Below are 18,817 nucleotides of genomic sequence, written 5' to 3' on the forward strand. Positions count from 1 at the left end.
ATCGTGTTTATAAGTCATAATCCTATCCAGACAATAGCCCTACTATTCTACAGACTAAGAGGTGTACAAACCTCTAGCTGTTTTTCCAGGAGGAATACCCTTCCTTGGTAATTTTGAGCATTCGTCTCAAAATAATTTGAGTGTGCTTTATCCCCTTTATTTTAGATTTTTACCTACACTGTATTCATTCCTTATGATTGGCTAAGAGGTGTACAAACCTCTAGCTGTTTTTCCAGGAGGAATACCCTTCCTTGGTAATTTTGAGCATTCGTCTCAAAATAATTTGAGTGTGCTTTATCTCCTTTATTTTAGATTTTTACCTACACTGTATTCATTCCTTATGATTGGCCTAGTGTTATTTGGAGGCCTTTTAAAAACTGAAATCCTTCTGGTATTTCTGGGATAAGAGAAGCAAAGTGATTAAAGTTGGACTCTTGAGTCAAACTTCCTGAAAACATATTGACCGTAGGCAAATTACTCACCCTCTCTAGGCCTCAATTTCCTCATCTGTAAAATGGGGATAGCAATGGTACTTACTACCTGATTGGGTTGTGAGGACCAAGTGGTGTGATACCTGTAAGATGATTAGAAGAGTGTCCAACACTAACGTATACTGGAAGCCAAGTACATGCTATTTCCATCACTTTACTTTCCGTACTTGGGTCAAAGTTGGCCTCTGTTAACACCACATCTGGCTCTCAGCTGGCTTAGCCTCTGATTCTTGTAACAACAGCCCTTTCTTTCCTGGCCCTGCCACCTCCTAGACCTCATGTCCTGGGAAGCAGTCTGCTTCCCAGACACACTGTGCCCCTTCATGTGTCAATGACTATGCACATGGCATTTCTGGGGCTTTTTACATCTCCTCTCCATTCTTTAAACCCAGCACAGGGGTCACCTGCCCCGAGAAGACTCCCCTGCTGTCCACACTGGCTCCCATCATGCCCCTGCCCACCCCAAGGAGAGCAAGCACCTGCCTTCTGTGACGGCTGGACCTGCTCATATTTCTGTCTCTGTGTCCACTGCCCTGATGGGTAGTTACTTGTTCTCAGGCTTTTCTCCCTCGCTGTGCTGCAGGCCCCTGAAGACCAAGACCTTGTCTTACTCATGTGTGTAACACCAGGCATTGTAACACCAGGCATGACGTGAACTAGAGCAGGGGCCGAGTGAGGGTTTGCTCGGTTGAACTAAGTGGGGCTGAGAAGATTCAAGAGCCTGCTTGGAAGTGCCAGATGTGTAACAGATGCTGTCTGGTGCTTTGTGGGAACACACTACCTCAATAAGTAGCATTCCATAGAGCTCAAGGTCTAGTTAGGGAGTCCATAGGCTGTAGGTGACAAAGGCCAAAGGGAGTCAAAGAACAAAATAATGGAGAGCTGGAAAATATCAAGTCCAAGTGCTGAGGATGGGATGGGGTGAATTTGAGTCTAGAAATAAGGGAAGCAAAAGACCCAGATTTGAGGAAGGAAGAGGGAGGGTGAGGCAGGGTGGGCAGGGAAAGGCAGGGGGCTCAGGCATTCCAGGCTGAGGGCAGGCCTTGGAGAGCCTTGCATATCTCAGAGATGCACCTTCATGCCCTAGGTGGGGCAATAGTCTGCGAGAAGGGCCTGATGAAGGAGGAGCTTCGAGGTAAGAACTAAGTGGGGAAAACCATAGATTCTTGGCCAAGGGACCTTCATAATACATGACTTATTCTGCTAGTTCTTTTAACATGAGCCTTTAATACTTTTTTGTGGAATGAATAAGCAAGGGAGGAAGCCAGATGTGGAAGAAGGAAGATGAGCTGTGGACTTAGTCACCTGGGTTTGAATCTTGGAGTCACTACCTGCTGGTTCTGTGATGCAAGCATGTTCCCAATCTTCTACAAGCCTCAGTGTCCTCATCTGTGAACTGGGGATGACATATGCTTCATTTTGGGGTGGGGTCAGCTTTATTTAGGTATAATTTACATACAGTAAATATTCACCAATTTTAAGTGTCCCCAATTAAGTGATTTTTTGAAATTATGTTGTTGTGTAACTACCATCACAGTAAAGATATTAAATTTTTACATCACCCTCAAAAAATGTCCTTATGTCCCTTGCAGTCAATCCCCTTCTCCCACTCCTGGCCCCTAGCAACCAAAGGTCTGCTTTCCATTACCATCATCTTGCAATTCCTAGACTTTCATACATATGGAACCATGCTGTTATAATCTTTATGCCAACCTTTTTTTTAACTTCGCATGATGCTTTTGAAATTCACCTAAGTTGTTGCTATTATTGAGTTCCTTTCTTTTTCGCTGAGTAGTTTTCTATTTTATGAATATCATACAATATATGCTTTTCTGTTCATCCATTGGTGGACATTTAGGTTGGTGTCAGTTTTTACCTACTATAAATAAAGCTACTATGAGTATTGGTGCATAAGTCTTTGGGCAGATTAATATTTTCATTTCTTTTGGATAAATACCTGGGAGTCAAAGTGCGGGGCATATGGCAGCCTTTGTTTAAAAGACTACCGATCTGTTTTTTAAAATGGCTACACCGTTTTGCATTCTTACCAGCACAGCCTGAGAGTGCCAGTTCTCCAGATCCTCGCTGACATTTGATATTATGTGTCTTCTAAAATTGTAGCTATTCTAGTGACTGTACAGTGGTAATTTATTGTAGTTTTAATTTTCAAGATTTTCTGATAACATTTTTTAATGTAGGTAGTGGCAATTCGTATCTTCTTTGGTGTAGTGTCTGTTCAAATAGTTTGCCAATTTTTTACCTAAATTGATTAGTTTATTTTCTTAATATTTTCGAGTGGTAAAGGTTTATTATATATGATTGATCCTTGAACAATGGGTTAGGGGCACCAACACCCCCCCACTCCTGCAGTTGAAATTCCACATATAACTTTTGACACCCCCAAAACTTAACTAATAGCCTACTGTTAACTGGAAGCCTTACCGCTAACATAAACAATTGATTTACACATATTTTGTATGTTATACGTATTATATACTGTATTCTTACAATAAAGCTAGCTAGAGAAAAGAAAGTGCTATTAGGAAAATCATAAAGAAGACAAAATACATTTACACTACTGTACCGTATTTATCGATACCGTAAGTTTCTATTGTCTGTTTATAAGATGAATCCTCTGTCTAAAATGGCAACTGCAGCTACAAGCCTCAGTCTATGGTACATCAAGAAACTCAATCTTTTCCTGTACTGACATGACTTTTCTGCTTCTTGGGAGCACTTCCAACATCACTGGTGGCACTTCCTACTTGTCCCATGGTGTTATTCAAGGATTACAGTATTACAATAAACACAATGAAAAATACCTGAGAACCAACAAAGATCACTTTTTATTTGGATGTGCAGCTTACTGGAGAGATGAACTGCCCACATGGAGATGAATAGCTTACATGACATGTTAAGTGGATATTCTTAAAACGAAAGCTTCATGACAATAACAACAGGAGGTGCCTATGAAGTTATTACGGTACCACAGGATGTACAGGTTAATTTTATGCAGTTCTGATGTAATACTGCATCTTTATGTTTGTTTCCATTTCTTTTGACTGCGAATGGTGCCATGTACAGTCCGTGTTTGTGTGTGTGTAAGTTTCGTTAACTTTTAACTTTATATGAAAGATTTGTGTATATTTTATGGTAGTCAATGATAAAATAGACTAGTGTCTACATACATTTTATGCATTCATGACATACCTTTTTCTTAATTTTGATATTTCTAGGCTGCACAGTTCATCTTTGAATGTTTTCAAATTATTGCAAATCTACAAAAAGTTTTTCAATATATGTATTGAAAAATATCCATGTAGTGTTACAGCTCTTTTAGAATTTGTCTAGCAGGTTTCCCAGTATTCACCGGAAAGCTCCAAAAAAAAATGAAAGAAAGAAAGGAAGATAGGAAGGAAGGAAGGAAAGAGAGAGAGAAAGAAAGAAGAAAAGAAGAAAAGAAAGAAAGAAAGAGAGAAAGAAAGAAAGAAAGAGAATGAAAGAAAGAAAGAAAGAAAGAGAAAAAGAAAGAAAGAAAAGAGAAAAAGATCCTCCAGCCTCAGCCTCCCAAGTAGCTAGGCTTACAGGTATGAGCTGCCATATCTGGCAAACTATTTTTAAAAAGTTTTAAAAAATACTTTTTAAAATTAAATTTCTCTCTGCATTTCATTTTGCATAATTTCTATTGTCTTGTCTTTTTTCTATTCTTTTGTCTCCTTTTTGTAGAGATGGGGTCTTGTTATGTTACCCAGGCTGGTCTCAAACTCCTGGCCTCAAGTGATCCTCCTTCCTTGGCCTCCCAAGGTTTTGGGATTACAGGCATGAGCCACCTTGCTTGGCCTCTTTCCATTTTTAAACAGTGTCTTTTGAAGAACTAAAGTTATTAATTTTAATGAAGTCCAGTTTATTAATTTTTTCTTTTGTACTTCAGGCTTCTTATGTTCGATTTGAGAAATCTTTCCCAAGCCTAAGTCACAGAGATTTTCTTGTGTTCTCTTCTGAAAGTTGTATAACGTTATGTCTTACCCTTAGCTCTATGGTTCATTCAGAGTTAGTCTTTCTGTATGGTCTGATATAAGGGTCAAGATTTATTTTCTTACATATGGATCACTTGGATAACTAACTGTTCCAGGACTATGTGTTGAAAAGATTATTCTTTCCTTAGTTAATTACCTTGGCCTTTTAATTACTTTGGCCTTTTATTTATTTATTTTGTCAAAAGCCAATTCACCACATATGAATGAGACTATCTCTGGACTCTCTGCTCTATTGACCTATATGATTGTCTTTACACAAATACCACTCTCTCCATTGTTATATAGTTCTATTGCATGTACTGAAATCAAATAATATAACTCATTCCACAGTAACCTTCTTTTTCAAAATTGCTTTACATGTTTTAGGTCCTTTGCATTTTCACATACATTCTAGACCTAGTTTGTCAATTTCTACAAAGAGCCTGGGGTTTTGATTGGAACTATATTGAACCTATGTATCAATTTGGGGAGAATGGACAGATAACAATATTGAGTTTTCTGACCCATGAATAGGACATATCTCTCTTTCTTTAATTTCCCTCAGCAATGCTTTTTGGTTTTTAATGTATGTCTTGTACATATTTTATAAAATTTAACCAAGGAATTTAATACCTCTCTCTGCTCTTCATATGGCATTCCATGTACATGTGTTTATTACATGTAAATGTAATTGTTATTACAAGTAACGACGTGTAAATGTAATTGTAGTTACAAGGTCATTTTATATTGTCTTACAGGTCACTGATACTCAGTTCTTATTTTTTTTGTTTGTTTGTTTTTTGAGACAGGGTCTTGTTCTGTCACCCAGGCTACAGCACAGTGGCCCAGTCAGGGCGTACTGCAGCCTTGACCTCCCGGACTCAATCAATCCACTTGCCTCAGCCTCCTGAGTAGCTGGGACTACAGGCACACATCACCACACCCAGCTAATTTTTGTATTTTATTTTTTGAAGAGATGAGGTTTTGCTATGTTGCCCAGGCTGGTTTCCAACTCCTGGGCTCAAGTGATCTGCCTGCCTTGGCCTCCAAAGTGCTGAGATTATAGGCCTGAGCCACTGTGCCCAGTTCTTACATACTTTTTAAAATCGTATTTCTCTCTGGGTTTCATTTTGTGTAATTTCTATTGTTCTGTCTTTAAAGACACTAGTATTTACTTCTCCAGTGTCTAATCTGCTATTAATCCAAGCCAGTGTTTTTTCTTTTCTGATAATGTATTTTTCATCTATAAGAAGTTCTATTTATGTCCTTTATGTGTATTTAATTTCTCTCCTTATGATGTTCAGATTTTCCTCTAACTTTTTGAACATATGAAGTATATTTATAATATCTCATTTAACACCCGTGTATGCTAATTTAATTCTATGTCTGTTTCATTTGATTGTTTTTTCCTTCTGTCTATGGGTTGTATTTTCCTGCTTCTTTTCATGCCTGATAATTTTTGGCTGGGTGCTAGACAATGATAATTTTACATTGTTAAATGCTCAGTATTTTTAAACTATTATTTAAATATTGCTGGGCTCTGTTCTGAGATGCAGTTACTTGGAAATAGTTTGAACGTTTCAAGTCTTGCTTTTAAGCTTTGTTAGGAAGGGGAGTTCAGAACAATCTTTAGGACTTCTTGATTTATTTGGTCCCACTATGAAGCAATACCCTTCTTATGGGTACAATGCTCTATGTATCTGGAGGTTTTTCCACTCAGGCTAGTGCATATAAACTATTCTAGTCTCTGTGAGCTGTTGGAATTGTTCCACCTACATCTTTTCAGTGATTCTTTCCCCATTCTCAGTGGTCTCCTTCCCTGCATATAGAGATCAGTACAGCACAACCATACATACAAGGGGATCCCTCTGAAGAACGTCGGCCTGTTCTTTCTCTCTCTCACTCCTTGTTTTGAGGGAAAACCCTGTTTTTTTCTTTCTACTCTCTTGCACAGTCACTCAACACTGTATTTCTGACATCAGATGTATGGGGATTTCTCCCCATACATCAAGCAATTATCCAGTAGACATCAACTAAGTGTCCAATAATTCAATTCAATTCTGACACTATGTACCTGGAGATAGTATCAAATCCCACAGGTGAAGAGCTTAGTCCCAGAAGACTGCTGGTCCCTGCCCCCACTTCAGATGCCAGTAGCAAACCCCAGGTTGTGACCTGTGCTTCCAACTGACTGGCTATAGATCAGGGTTCCCATGACCCCCTCTTTGGGTTCAATTAATTTGCTACAGTGGCTCAACAGAACTCAGAGAAACACTTCACTTACATTTACACATTTATTATAAAGAATATTACAAGGCCAGGCGTGGTGGCTCATGCCTGTAATCCCAGCACTTTGAGAGGCCAAGGCAGGCGGATCACGAGGTCAAGAGATCGAGACCATCCTGGCCAACATGGTGAAACCCCGTCTCTACTAAAACTACAAAAATTAGCTGGGCGTGGTGGCATGTGCCTGTAGTCCCAGCTACTCAGGAGGCTGAGGCAGGAGAATTGCTTGAACCTGGGAGGCAGAGGTTGCAGTGAGCCAAGATTGCGCCACTGCACTCCAGCCTGGGGACAGAGTGAGATTCCTCAAAAAAAACCCCCAAAAACAAAGAATATTACAAAGGATACAGACAAATGACAGATGGAAGAGATGCACGAGACAAAATATGGAGGAAGGGGAGTGCCACCCTCCGGGCACCTCCATGTGTTCAGCAATCCGGAAGCTCTCCAAATTCCATCATTGTGAGTTTTTATGGAGGTTTCATTACATAGGCATGATTGATTCCCTCATTGGCTATTGGTGATCAACTCAACCTCCAGCCTCTTCACTCTCCCCAGAGGTTGGGGGATGGAACTGAAAGTTTCAACCCTCTGTTTACATGGTTGGTTTCCCTAGCAACAAGCTTCCATCCTCAGGCTATCCAGGAGCCCACCAAGAATCGCCTAATCAGAACAAAAGTTGCTTCTACCACTCCGGAAATTCCAAGGGATTTAGGAGCTCTATGTCAGACATTCTTATCACTTAGGAAACTGCAAAGGTCGCAGGAGCTCTAGGTCGGGAACTGGGGTCAAAGACCAAATTTTAGAACAAAAGACTCTCCTAGCACCACCATCTACAAGGGTTTCAGCAGCACTATGTCAGGAACTGGAGGCAGAGATCAAATATATATATTTCTTGTTATCCCATAATGTCACACTGTTATTTTTCCTACAAATTTTAGTCACCTTTGTCTCTCTTTACTAGGAATTGAGTTTCTTCAACTCAGGGGACCACGGGGCTCTGTCTGGGGCCACCTTTCTTACCCTGTAGCCTGTAAACTTGCTCCAAGTCCTGAGCTAAGGCACTCATAGGACACACCTTGTTTGTTTTCCTTTTCTCAGTGATCACCTATATGGCCAGGTTTCAGTGTCTGAAGAACATTGTTTCATATCGTTCGTCCATTTTTTCAGTTGGTTAAGATAGGAAGGTAATTCTGGTCCCTAGCTGAAAGCAGAAATCCTGTATTTTGTCATTTGTATTAAACCTGGTAACGTGCTGGGTACCTGAAGTACACGGCCCAGCACCTGGCACTGGAATAGCGATCAGCTCCTTTACTCCTCCTCATTGTGAAATGGCACAGGAGCCCCGTCATTTGACATGGTACCAGAAATGATTAGTTAGAAGACCATTCAGGAACTGTGCATGAAATATATAACTCAATTACAAAATATATAACTAACTCAATCACAAAATATAAAACTCAGTGGGTGTATTGAGCACCCATTGATGGCAGGTGCTGTTCTAAAGCAAAATTTTTGCCAACAGCAGCGATTTCAGGGCTGTTGGCATTCTTTATCTCCTGAGACTCTCCTTAGATTTCCTTATGAGAAACCGAGGTTTGACGATGAAGTAGGGTACTTCCTGGTGAGATTTACTGCTAAAGACTTTGCCAGAGGAGATTTCTTCTAATGATCAGGCCCCTCAGTAAAATGTATCTTCTATATTTCTAATTATAATTGACCAAGGAAAAAAGTCCAAATCAATTTTTATGGACAGTGAAGCCTCCACTGTCCTAAGTTGGTGTCTGCCTTTTCTGTCTCCCTGAATTCTACCTCCCTCCCAGAATGCCTGGTTCAGTCTGTGTGCTCCCGGGGGGTGATGGATAACACTGTTAAACACTCTGTGCTTCAGTTTCCTGCTATATAAAGCGAGGACAGTGATAGGACGGATTTCATGGGGTCGTTGGGAGAATTCAGTGACTTACTAAGTGTGAAGAACTAAGGACTGCAGCTGGCACGCAGTAAGCCTTCAACTAATGTTGCTATGATTACTGTTATTGTCATTATTGCTGCATTGTTGTTTTGTTAATTGTTATTTTTATGTTATATAGTGAGAGCAGGATGCACTGAAATGGCTTCTTATTTTTACTAGGCTGTGATGTTCTCGAGGGCAGGGTCTGGACTTTATCACCGTCTCCACCCCATCCATGGAAGCAGTGTGGTGTGATAGTTAAAGGCCAGCTTTGCCTATAAAGAGCCAGATAGTAAATATTTTAGGCTTTGTGGGCCATATGGTCTCTCTGTCCTTATAGCACAAAGACAGCCATAGATAATATGAACAGGTATAGCTATATTCCAGTAAAGTTGTGTTTATAAAAACAGGTAGTGCAATGGAGTTGGTCCATGGGCCATACTTTGCAGACTGCTGCTTAAAAGTGCCGCTCTGGAACCGAACTACCTGGGTTTAAATCCCAGCTCTGTTGCTTTGTGACTTAGAGTTACTCAATCTCTCCATAATTCAGTTTCTTCATTTGTACATTGGGGGTGAAATGAAGTAAAGTATATAAAGCACTTGGGACTTCACCTGGTAGATAGATAATAATAAGCTCTGAATGTGTGTGTGTGTGTACACGTGTATGTGATTATAAATATTTTATATGTATATATATGAGATACATATTTTTCTTTTCTTTTTTTTTTTTTTTTTTGAGACACAGTCTCACTCTGTCGTCCAGTGCAGTGGCATGATCTCGGCTCACTGCAACCTCCGCCTCCTGGGTTCAAGCAATTCTCTTGCCTCAGCCTCCCGAGTAGCTGGGACTACAGGCGTATGCCACCATGCCCTGCTAATTTTTGTATTTTTAGTAGAGATGGGGTTTCACCATGTTGTCCAGGCTGGTCTCGAACCCCTGACCTCAGGTGATCCACCCACCTCGACTTCCCAAAGTGCTGGGATTACAAGCATGAGCCACCAAGCCTGGCCTATATACTTCACATATATATATATACACACACACATGAAATAAGCTAAGTTAACTTATTGAGCAACTATCTCTCTGTCAGGCATTCCAGTAATAATCGTTTACTGGACAAAGCCTAATTGTTACTGGAATTTCTAATGGACAGTAGTGCTCACTAAATATTGCCTAAGTGGTGAACAGATAAATGCACTCTTCTCATTTACATTTTACTCATCCTTCAAGTTCAAGGTTGAGTTCTCTTCCTTTAGGCGTCCTCCTTGGCAGCCCAGGCTCAGCCCATCTCTTCCTCTCTCCCTTCATGGCAGTTCACTGGGCATCACACTTGGCAGCCTTTGGTTCTCCAGAGCACTTTCCACCATCCCGCTTGTCACCACCTTCTTTCCGTGTTGATGTTGTTCACGGACTGTCTCCCTCAGTAGAATGTGAGCTCCTTACCATGGTTTGTCCAGTACCTAGGACAGTGCCTGTCAGGTGCTCAGTAATTGTTTATTGATTAATGAATGAATGAATGAACGAATGAATGAATCCTTTCTATTATTGCAACCTGTTGTTTTCATCATTTAACCTTTCTCTGTGTATGCTTTATCTCCCAAACTACAGACTAAGTTTTTTTAAAGTTACCTCTCTGATCAGCATTTCAGGATTACTATGAAGATCAAATTAAATTACATGTGGCAGTGTCTAGCTTGGAGTTTGGTGTATATTGATGTCAATTGCATATTCCTAATTCATACTTTCTTCTCTCCGTTTCATAAATATTTGTTTTCCAGGTATCACAGAAAGAATTGAAAGGCAAGGTTGTCAGACAGATATGGCAGCTAAGACACCAACTGAGGAATGTTATCAATGTAGCTCCGTGAAATTGCCATATTTTACATCCTGCAGTTCTGCAGTCAAGTGGTGGTATTTTTGTCACAGCCCACATCAAAGCCCAGATGGCATGAGGGAGGGATGGAAATGGGGCTCCATAACCCTCAGGAACTCTGAAGATTTCATCTCCTAAGTGGTATTGTCCATCTGTTTCTGCAACTTCCTTAGCAACTTGACAAGTAAATCCTTAAATAGTAACTGCCAGCAGTATTGCAGTTCTTTGTCTTTCTGACTAGGTATGAAAGCCAAGAAGGCAGCCCTTTGTAAATGGTGTCACTGTTTGAGATGTTTGCGGGCTGCTTGCTCTTCTAGATCCACATGGCCTTTCAGTTTGTCTCCACGGGAGGTCTATGCTTGGTCATGATCAGCTGACACTCATAAATCCTGTGTCTGGACATCTGTCACTCCTGCCAGTCCAGCATCCCTTTCTTGAAGTAGCAGCTACCTGATTTTCCTTGGGACCCCTCTGAGTCTCAGATTCAGAAGGCTAGGGTGGGCTCGGCACAGTAGCTCACGCTTGTAATCCTAGCACTTTGGGGAGGCCAAGGCTGGCAGATCACCAGGTCAGGAGTTCAAAACCAGCCTGGCCAACATGGTGAAACCCTGTCTCACCTAAAAGTACAAAAAAAATTAGCCGGGTGTGGTGATGGGCACCTGTAATCCCAGCTACTCAGAAGGCTGAGGCAGGAGAATTGCTTGAACCCAGGAGGTGGAGGTTGCAGTGAGCCAAGATCGTGCCATTGCACCCCAGCCTGGGCAACAGAGTGAGACTCTGTCTCAAAAAAAAAAAAAAAAAAAGAAGGCTAGGGTGAAGAAGGTGCCCTTTGGATAATTATTTATTTAGGGAACTATCCTGAGAAGTATGTCTCCTTTTAAAAGAAATATGTGAAAATAATGTTTGTTCTCACAACTTCGATCTCCTGGATAGTTCTGTCTCTGAAGAGATTTTTTTATTGTTGTTGTTTTTCTTAAAAACAGAGAAACATTTTGTTAGACATTGTAGTTTGATTGAAAGTCGGCTGGCCAGGCCTGCAGAGATGATGAGTATGTTCAGACATCGAATAGATTTCTTGTCTTAGATGATGTTTTTCAAATCAGAGCTTTGTGGTTTTACTTTATGATTTTTTTCAGATGACTCTGGTTACGGTCACCACCAGAGTGCTCAGTGCTGTTTACTATTCAACTCCGCAGGAGCCAGAATCCAGACGCTGGGAAATGTGAATGTTCCAATATGGCTGACCATCATGGAATGGGATCAACAGATGGAAATAGGAGGCTTCATCTTCTTCATCTTGGTCCTGAGGCTCCATCAGCCAGGTTTCCAGCACACATTAAACCCAGGTATAACAACGACATGGCCCAGATTTTTCAATCTTCATTTCAAAAGTGTCCCTTTGTCTCCCTCTATATCTGGTTGGTCAGCTGTCTTGATTTTTGCGTTGGGATCCAAAGTTACTACAAAACTAGCGCAATTGGTTTAATATCTTCATTAACTGAATTCTTGGGTCCTCTGCCCATCTCCTTTCTCCTTCATAAGTTCCTCTTGTTCTTCCTGCCTCTGGAATATGGGTCTTGGCTTTCAGCCATTCCCATGGCAAATTAACCCTTCAATCTTAATGACCACTGTAGTGGACAATGTTAGTGCTTTTTTTTTTTTTTTCTTTGAGACAGTATTTAGCTCTTGTTGCCCAGGCTGGAGTGCAATGGTTGCTCACTGCAACCTCTGCCTCCCGGGTTCAAGTGATTCTCCTGCCTCACTCAGCCTCTTGAGTAGTTGGGATTACAGGCACGCGCCACCATGCCCAGCTAATTTTGTATTTTTAGTAGAGACGGGGTTTCTCTGTGTTGGTCAGGCTGGTCTCAAACTCCCGACCTCAGGTGATCCGCCTGCCTTGGCCTCCCAAAGTGCTGGGATTACAGGCATGAGCCACCGTGCCCGGCCCTAAAAAGTCTTTTACTGTGTTTTTAACCACACAAAGATACACACAGTTCTAGAGGCGACTAGCAGTTTCCATTTCTCCCTCCACAGCCCTGAGACCATTAACTGCTGACTGTCAGCCCAGGAGCATGAAAGCCCAGCTCAAATCGGGGTGACTCTGAGGCATTTCTTACCAACCGTTTCCCAAGGGAGCAAGGCTGAGGCTTCCCCTTGCAAGCCTGTTCCTTAGATCTCACCTTGCTTCATGTTATGGGGTGCATTGTATCTAACCCAAATTTTCATGTTGAAGTCCTAACCTCCCCTACCTTAGAATGTGAACTCATTTGGAAATAGGGTTGTTGCAAATATAATTACTTAAATTAAGATGAGGTCATACTGGAGTAGATGGGTCTCTAATCCAATAGGGCTAGAGTCTTTATCAAAAGAAGACATTTGGACACAGACACATACACAGAGAGGACACTGTGTGAAGACGAAGACAGAGATTGGAGTGATGCATCTGCCAGCTGGGGAATACTGAAGTCTGCCAGCAGCCACCAGCAGCCAGGAGAGGGACAGGGTGCAAATTCTCCTTCACAGCCCTCAGAAGGAACCAACCCTGCTGACACCTTCGTCTTGGACTTTCAACAATATGATTCTGTTGTGTAAGCCATCCAATTTGTGCTACTTTGTCATGGCAGCTCTTGGAAACCAATACACTGAGCTCCCTCCATTTCCCTTCCGTGCTCCTCACTCCTTCACTGGTCTCCTCCAGGAGGACTTCTGTGATAAACCACTTGTACATGAATCCTCAACTTGGGGCCTTACTCCTGAGAACCTGAACTCAGAGAGGTGTCAGGTGTCCCTCACCAGCCCGGTCTCTCCTGTGCTACAGACCTCAGTACCCATTGCCGACTGGACACCTCTACCTGGATGTCCCACAGATACTTCAAACTTGATCTAACAAAACCAGGCTTGTCACTTCTGAAGTATCTGTGTTCCTAGTTCTGCTCCTCTAAGGTGTAATGGCACCATCAAGCTTCAGACGGCTCCTATTAGAAGCCCTGAAAGCTACCCTTGCCTCCTTTGCTTCCCTCACTCCCTTGGAGACCATCATTGTCTAAAGCCTGCCAGGTTTCCTCTAAGCTCCCAGATCTGTCCTCCCAACTCTGATCCTACCTGCTCCTGCCCTGGCCAGATGTTCCTTTGTGTCCCTTGAACAATTTCACTAGTTTTCTAGTCCCCAATCTTCCCTTTTCTATGCCTCATATGACTGCCAGAAGGTTTTCTTGACACAACCCAATGATGTTATTCTTCCTCTTAAAGCCCATCAGTGGCTGCCTATCACTAACAGATGAGATCCAAACTCCTTGGCATGGTGAGCCTAGCCCTTGCCCCACGTGGCACCTTCCTCACAGATCTCACTGAGCCATCTGGAGTTCCCCGGGTATGCCATACTCTCTCCTGCTTTTTGTCTTTGTTCAGGTCTGGGTCTCCTCCTTTCCTCATTACCTGGCTGGATAACTCTTGCTTGCCCTCTAAATCTCTCCTGAAGCTCTGCTCCGTGAAGCCTCCCAGCCACTCTGCACACCAACATCCCTGTGAGCCCTGGATGCCTTGGCCACACTCCAGGGTGTCGTCTGTCCATCACTCTGAATTGTAATTGTCTGTGCTTCCCATTGGACCAGGGGCTCTGTGAGGAGCAAAGGAAAGCACACCACAAGAGCCAGAGGGAGAGAGCTTGGCAGAACTCTGGAGGGAGCCTTTCCAAGACCTGCTTTTAGTGGAAGCTACAAAACCTCCTGGGAGGAGACTGAATTCCATGTTGGTGTTGCACTATTGCTTTAAAGGTGACTTAAGCTCTTTGTTAGGAAACCAATGGTGTTTTCTTTGATGCCATGTTCCTGAAAATTACTAGTCTAAGATTAACCTTATCACCCCTCTCTCCTTTCCCCTATTAGTGCCACCCTTTCCCTGGGACCAGCAGACAATTGTACCCATTATTTTCTGGTTCTAAGGAAGGATAAACTTCCTTCTAAGGCTTCAGGGATGACAGATGCCTTCTTGGGTAAGTAAGGAGACTGAAATTAAAACTCAAGAAGGTGGGATTACGCCTAACTTTAGGCCTATTAGTCTTTTCATTTTCTGCCTCTTGTCTGTTGTTTTAATGTAAAGCTTTCCCCTCTTTTAAAGAAATAAGAAGTCATCTGCATTTTGAGTACTAGATTAGGATACAAATAATGAGTATCTTCAATGCTTTACTTATTTAAAAGGCATTTTATTTTTATCCTCACAAAGTTTACACTAAAAATCTGTGCTCTGCAATTCTCTTACATGATAGTAATTTATTTGGCAGGCATTTACTAAGCACCTACTATGCGCCAAGCACTAGACTAGGTTCTGGGAATGCAAAAGTGATTTAGAATGAAGTACCTTCTCTGATGCCAAGACACTTAACAAGAGCATGATGTGATTGGCAGATGGCTAGTTATTCCTCAATCTCCCTTCTCTCATTCTTCATAATAGTGGAGTTTTCTCAGTCCCTTTGGACATCTGTGGCAGATAGTGAGAGAAGGATGAGACCTTGAGAGACCAGGAGAAAAGAGCAAGGATAGGGCATGGGAGTAGGAGTGGGGACAGTTGCCAGGAGTAGAGAGGAAGGAATCTTTGCAGCAACATGTGACCTACACTTCAGGTCTGCAGGGCCTGCCCTTTAGACCCACTCCATAAATGTTGATTTCAGTTTCTTTTACAATTCCAGATTTTATGCTTATGAAAAGTCATATGGCAAGGTTGCTTGCTCAAATACTCACGAGAATGACCCATAGACCGAATTTGTTCCAGCTGCAGCCCAGCTGGTGTTTATGACAGACTTGTTAGCAGCTTTGAAATAGAGAAATAGAAGTTGCAAAAAAATTCCAGTTCCATCCTCTCCATTTAATCTTCTCCATGTTGGAAAAAAAAGATAAGCTGCTCCCAATATTTAAAAGCTTTCTATAAAATAAATTGCAAGTAGCTACAAAATTCTGGTATCTGCATTTTCTGACTGCAGATCTTCTCATTCAACCCTAAGTCTCTTTAGTTTTTAATATATGTCATTCTTTATCTCTTCTAAAATAAATGAAAGGACAGTTGGATCTTTGGAGGCAGCTGTTGCTCCTCCAAGTTAAGGAATCTCTGTTCCAGAAATTTCTCCTTCCCTGCCTACATTGATTTCCCAACAAACAAGCTTTGACCAAGCTTGCCAAGCAAGCTTTCTTTTCCCCTTCCAACCTTGCTGTCAGGACAACATTCCTGCCACACTCCTCCCCAAGCTCAGACACTAGACCATGTACTCCCTCCTTCTATCATCACTTGAATTTCAGGAAGCAAATCCTTTGACTCAACCAGAAGAGGATTACTTAGTGCTTTCTTCATTCTTCATTTTAATTTTCATCTAAATGCATCAACACTCTACCATCTGAGGCTTTGATTTTCTTTTAACTACAATTCAAGTGTTTTTAAGATTTAAAGACTCATCTTTCTGTCTCCTGTTTTTATTTTGCCATTTGGATTAGTCAGACAAAGTCCTTTCTTTGCAAGGAAATTGTCTTTGCAAGTTGGGGTTTATTCATCTCCTAAAAATATTCTTGGGGCATGTATAAAGCTAGAAATGCATGTGTAATATGCCAAGCATGTAAGTACAAAGACAGAATTTTTGCACATAATTTCAGCCATTCAGTTATTTCCAGGTTCATAGTCTCTTGTAATATGTAAGCTTTCACTGGCCACACTATGGAAAACTTCCATTTCTTTCAATGGTTGAGATATGAGATTCTTTGTGAATTGTTTCTTCTGGCTAGATGAAAATTACTAAAATGGCATTAGTAATCACTATATTAGTCTGTTTTCTGTTGCTTATAAGAGAATACCTGAAACTGGGTAATTTATAAAGAAAAAAATTTATTTCTTACACTTACAGAGGCTGAGAAGTCCAAGGTCGAGGGCCTGCATCTGGTGATGGCCTTCTTACTGGTGGGGACTCTGAAGCATCCTGAGGTAGGCAGGGCATCACATGGTAAGTGGGCTGAGTGCGTTTGTGTACTAGCCCAGGCTCTCTTCCTCTTCTTATAAAGCCATCCATTCCACTCCCATGATAATTCATTAATCCATTAACCCTTTAATCAATTAATCCATGATGGATTTATCCATTCACTGGGGCAGAGCCCTCATGATCCAATCACCTCTCAATCCTGAAACATTTGTGTTCAAGTTTCAACATGAGTTTTGGAGGGGACAAATATTCCAATCATATAACAATGGCCCGTGTCCAAGTAAGCCCACAGCAGTGTGTACTTAACCTTAGAACCACCCAGAACATTCTTGAATCTTTCTCTCATGGTTCAGGAGGTCTTCTCGGTCTCTCAGTTTGTTACTTAGGGCATCACTAGACTATTGATTATCCATAGTGGCAGGAATATGTCAATTATTTGAGCTTCCCAGAAAGAATTTGACATTCTGAACAATTAGAAGTACACTTGAAAACATATCAATAAATATGTTGACATATAAATGGCCACATTTTCGAGCAGGCTAAATGTTAACAGATAAGAAATGATTTGGCCATAAAATAGATAAGCAGATACAGATGCTGAGATTCAGTTGCTTTATTTTTTTTTCAGGTTGGAGCAGAAGGAACAGCCAGGGAAATGCATCCATTTAACCTTCCAGACTCTGGAGTCCACCTTCTTTGTTTTAAGTAAATTTTAGATGCAGAGGCCATGAACTCAGCTTATAATCAGCCTTATTGCTCATTCACTTATTCCATATTCAAGATATTTAATGCTCATATTGCTCTGACAACATGCCAAGGATCTTCAGCTGACACCTCCCTGCATACTCTACTGGGTGATATCTCTTCTGATTTGTTTTTGTGACTGTTCTGATTAGTTGGACTCATGCTATACAGGTTATTCAATATTTTGAATAACATCCTTGACTTATAAAATTGTAATGGGATAATAGTTTATAGTATCAACCAAGGTTTGTTTGTTTGTTTTCTTTTTCCCTCAAGAATCTCATTATATTCCTGATACTTCCTCAATCAATGTGTAAGAGCATTCCAGCCTATGGTATTAGTCAGGATAGGCCAGACTGTGCTGCAATAATAAACAGCTGCAAAAATCTCAATGGTTAAACACACAATAGTTTATTTCTCATTCATGCTACATGTTCATTGTGGGTCAGTGAAGGACTTTGCGCCATATAGTCACTCAGGACTCAGGCTAAAGCAGGTGCCGTCACCTTGTAGCTGTATCATTTGAGTGCATGTCCTCCTTGATAGGCACAGCAGAAGAAAGCACATAAAATTGTACATGGATGTAGGTATGTGGCAGTCATTATTTTCACCCATATTTCATGGCCAGAACTGGTCAAGTGGCCCTGCCTAACTGCAAGTGCTGGGCAATGTAAGAGACCAAATGGAAGTTTTGCCTCATGGGAAAAAAGACTCAGCAAATGTGCTGAGAAAAGAAAAAAGTGTCAACTGAGTTTTAAAATAAACTATCAAAACATTTGGTAATGAGCATATCTTGGAGACAAAAAAATATGAAATTACAAGTACCAGGCTTTGAGCCTCAGAAACCATACCTAAAGAACTCAAGAGCAAAACATATATATTTATAAATATAAACAAGAGATAAAATACGTGAAGAGTTCTAATGATTGCTGGAAAAGAGAGATAAGTCCGAGAGAAGAGTAATGGGGTTAGAAACTCGTATACAACTCTGCAAAGGGTCCTCCTGGGTTGAGACCCAGGGTCAGGGTATGCATGTTAAAAATCCTGAGTAGGTTTGGTAATATTCAGGAGCAGGAGCAGAGCAGACCTGGACCTCTCTTCCCAGGAGAGTCTTGTGGATAAGTCTCTTATGAGAGTATGGGTATGACAAGCTAGAAATGGCAGCCTATGTGTCCAGGAGGAAATGGTCTGAGATAGGCTATATTAGTCCATTCTCACACTGCTATAAAGAATACCTGAGACTGGGTAATTTATGAAGGAAGGAGGTTTAATTGACTCACAGTTCCACATGGCTGGGGAGGCCTCAGGAAACTTACAATCATGGTGGAAGGTGAAGGGGAAGTAAGTGCCTTCTTCACAAGATGGCAGGAGAGAGAGAGTGCAAGGAAAACTGCCACTTTTAAACCATCAGATCGCGTGAGAACTCCCTCACTATCACAAGAACAGCATGGGGGAAACCACCCCCATGATCCAATCAGCTCCCACCGGGTCTCTCCCTCAAC

The 18,817-nt window shown here is 41.4% G+C and overlaps 1 protein-coding gene and 1 pseudogene across 3 annotated transcripts; both read left to right on the plus strand.

Moving 5' to 3' along the window:
* Positions 3,813-3,872, plus strand: RNU7-67P (RNA, U7 small nuclear 67 pseudogene; annotated as a pseudogene).
* LOC124901993 (uncharacterized) lies at positions 8,569-17,707 on the plus strand. 3 transcript variants are annotated; one of them, XR_007061034.1, is made up of 7 exons: positions 9,901-10,756; positions 11,812-11,961; positions 12,964-13,203; positions 14,227-14,388; positions 14,500-14,606; positions 16,500-16,595; positions 17,200-17,707. XR_007061034.1 is itself a non-coding variant. In XM_047422526.1 (6 exons), exons 3-6 carry the CDS (start codon positions 11,852-11,854, stop codon positions 17,238-17,240), a joined length of 354 nt encoding a protein of 117 aa, XP_047278482.1. In that variant the 5' UTR covers positions 8,569-8,790; positions 10,521-10,756; positions 11,812-11,851; the 3' UTR covers positions 17,241-17,707. The 3 variants fall into 3 exon arrangements, 2 of the variants coding, with proteins under 2 accessions (XP_047278482.1, XP_047278481.1); XM_047422526.1 differs by lacking the exons at positions 12,964-13,203; positions 14,227-14,388 and adding an exon at positions 8,569-8,790 and having other exon boundaries at positions 10,521-10,756; XM_047422525.1 differs by lacking the exons at positions 12,964-13,203; positions 14,227-14,388 and adding an exon at positions 8,569-8,790 and having other exon boundaries at positions 10,521-10,756; positions 16,500-16,576.
* Positions 17,708-18,817: the final 1,110 nt, after the last annotated feature.

The sequence above is a fragment of the Homo sapiens genome, chromosome 8 (genome assembly GCF_000001405.40).
Source record: "Homo sapiens chromosome 8, GRCh38.p14 Primary Assembly".
In the NCBI taxonomy this organism is placed as follows: Eukaryota; Metazoa; Chordata; class Mammalia; order Primates; family Hominidae; genus Homo; species Homo sapiens.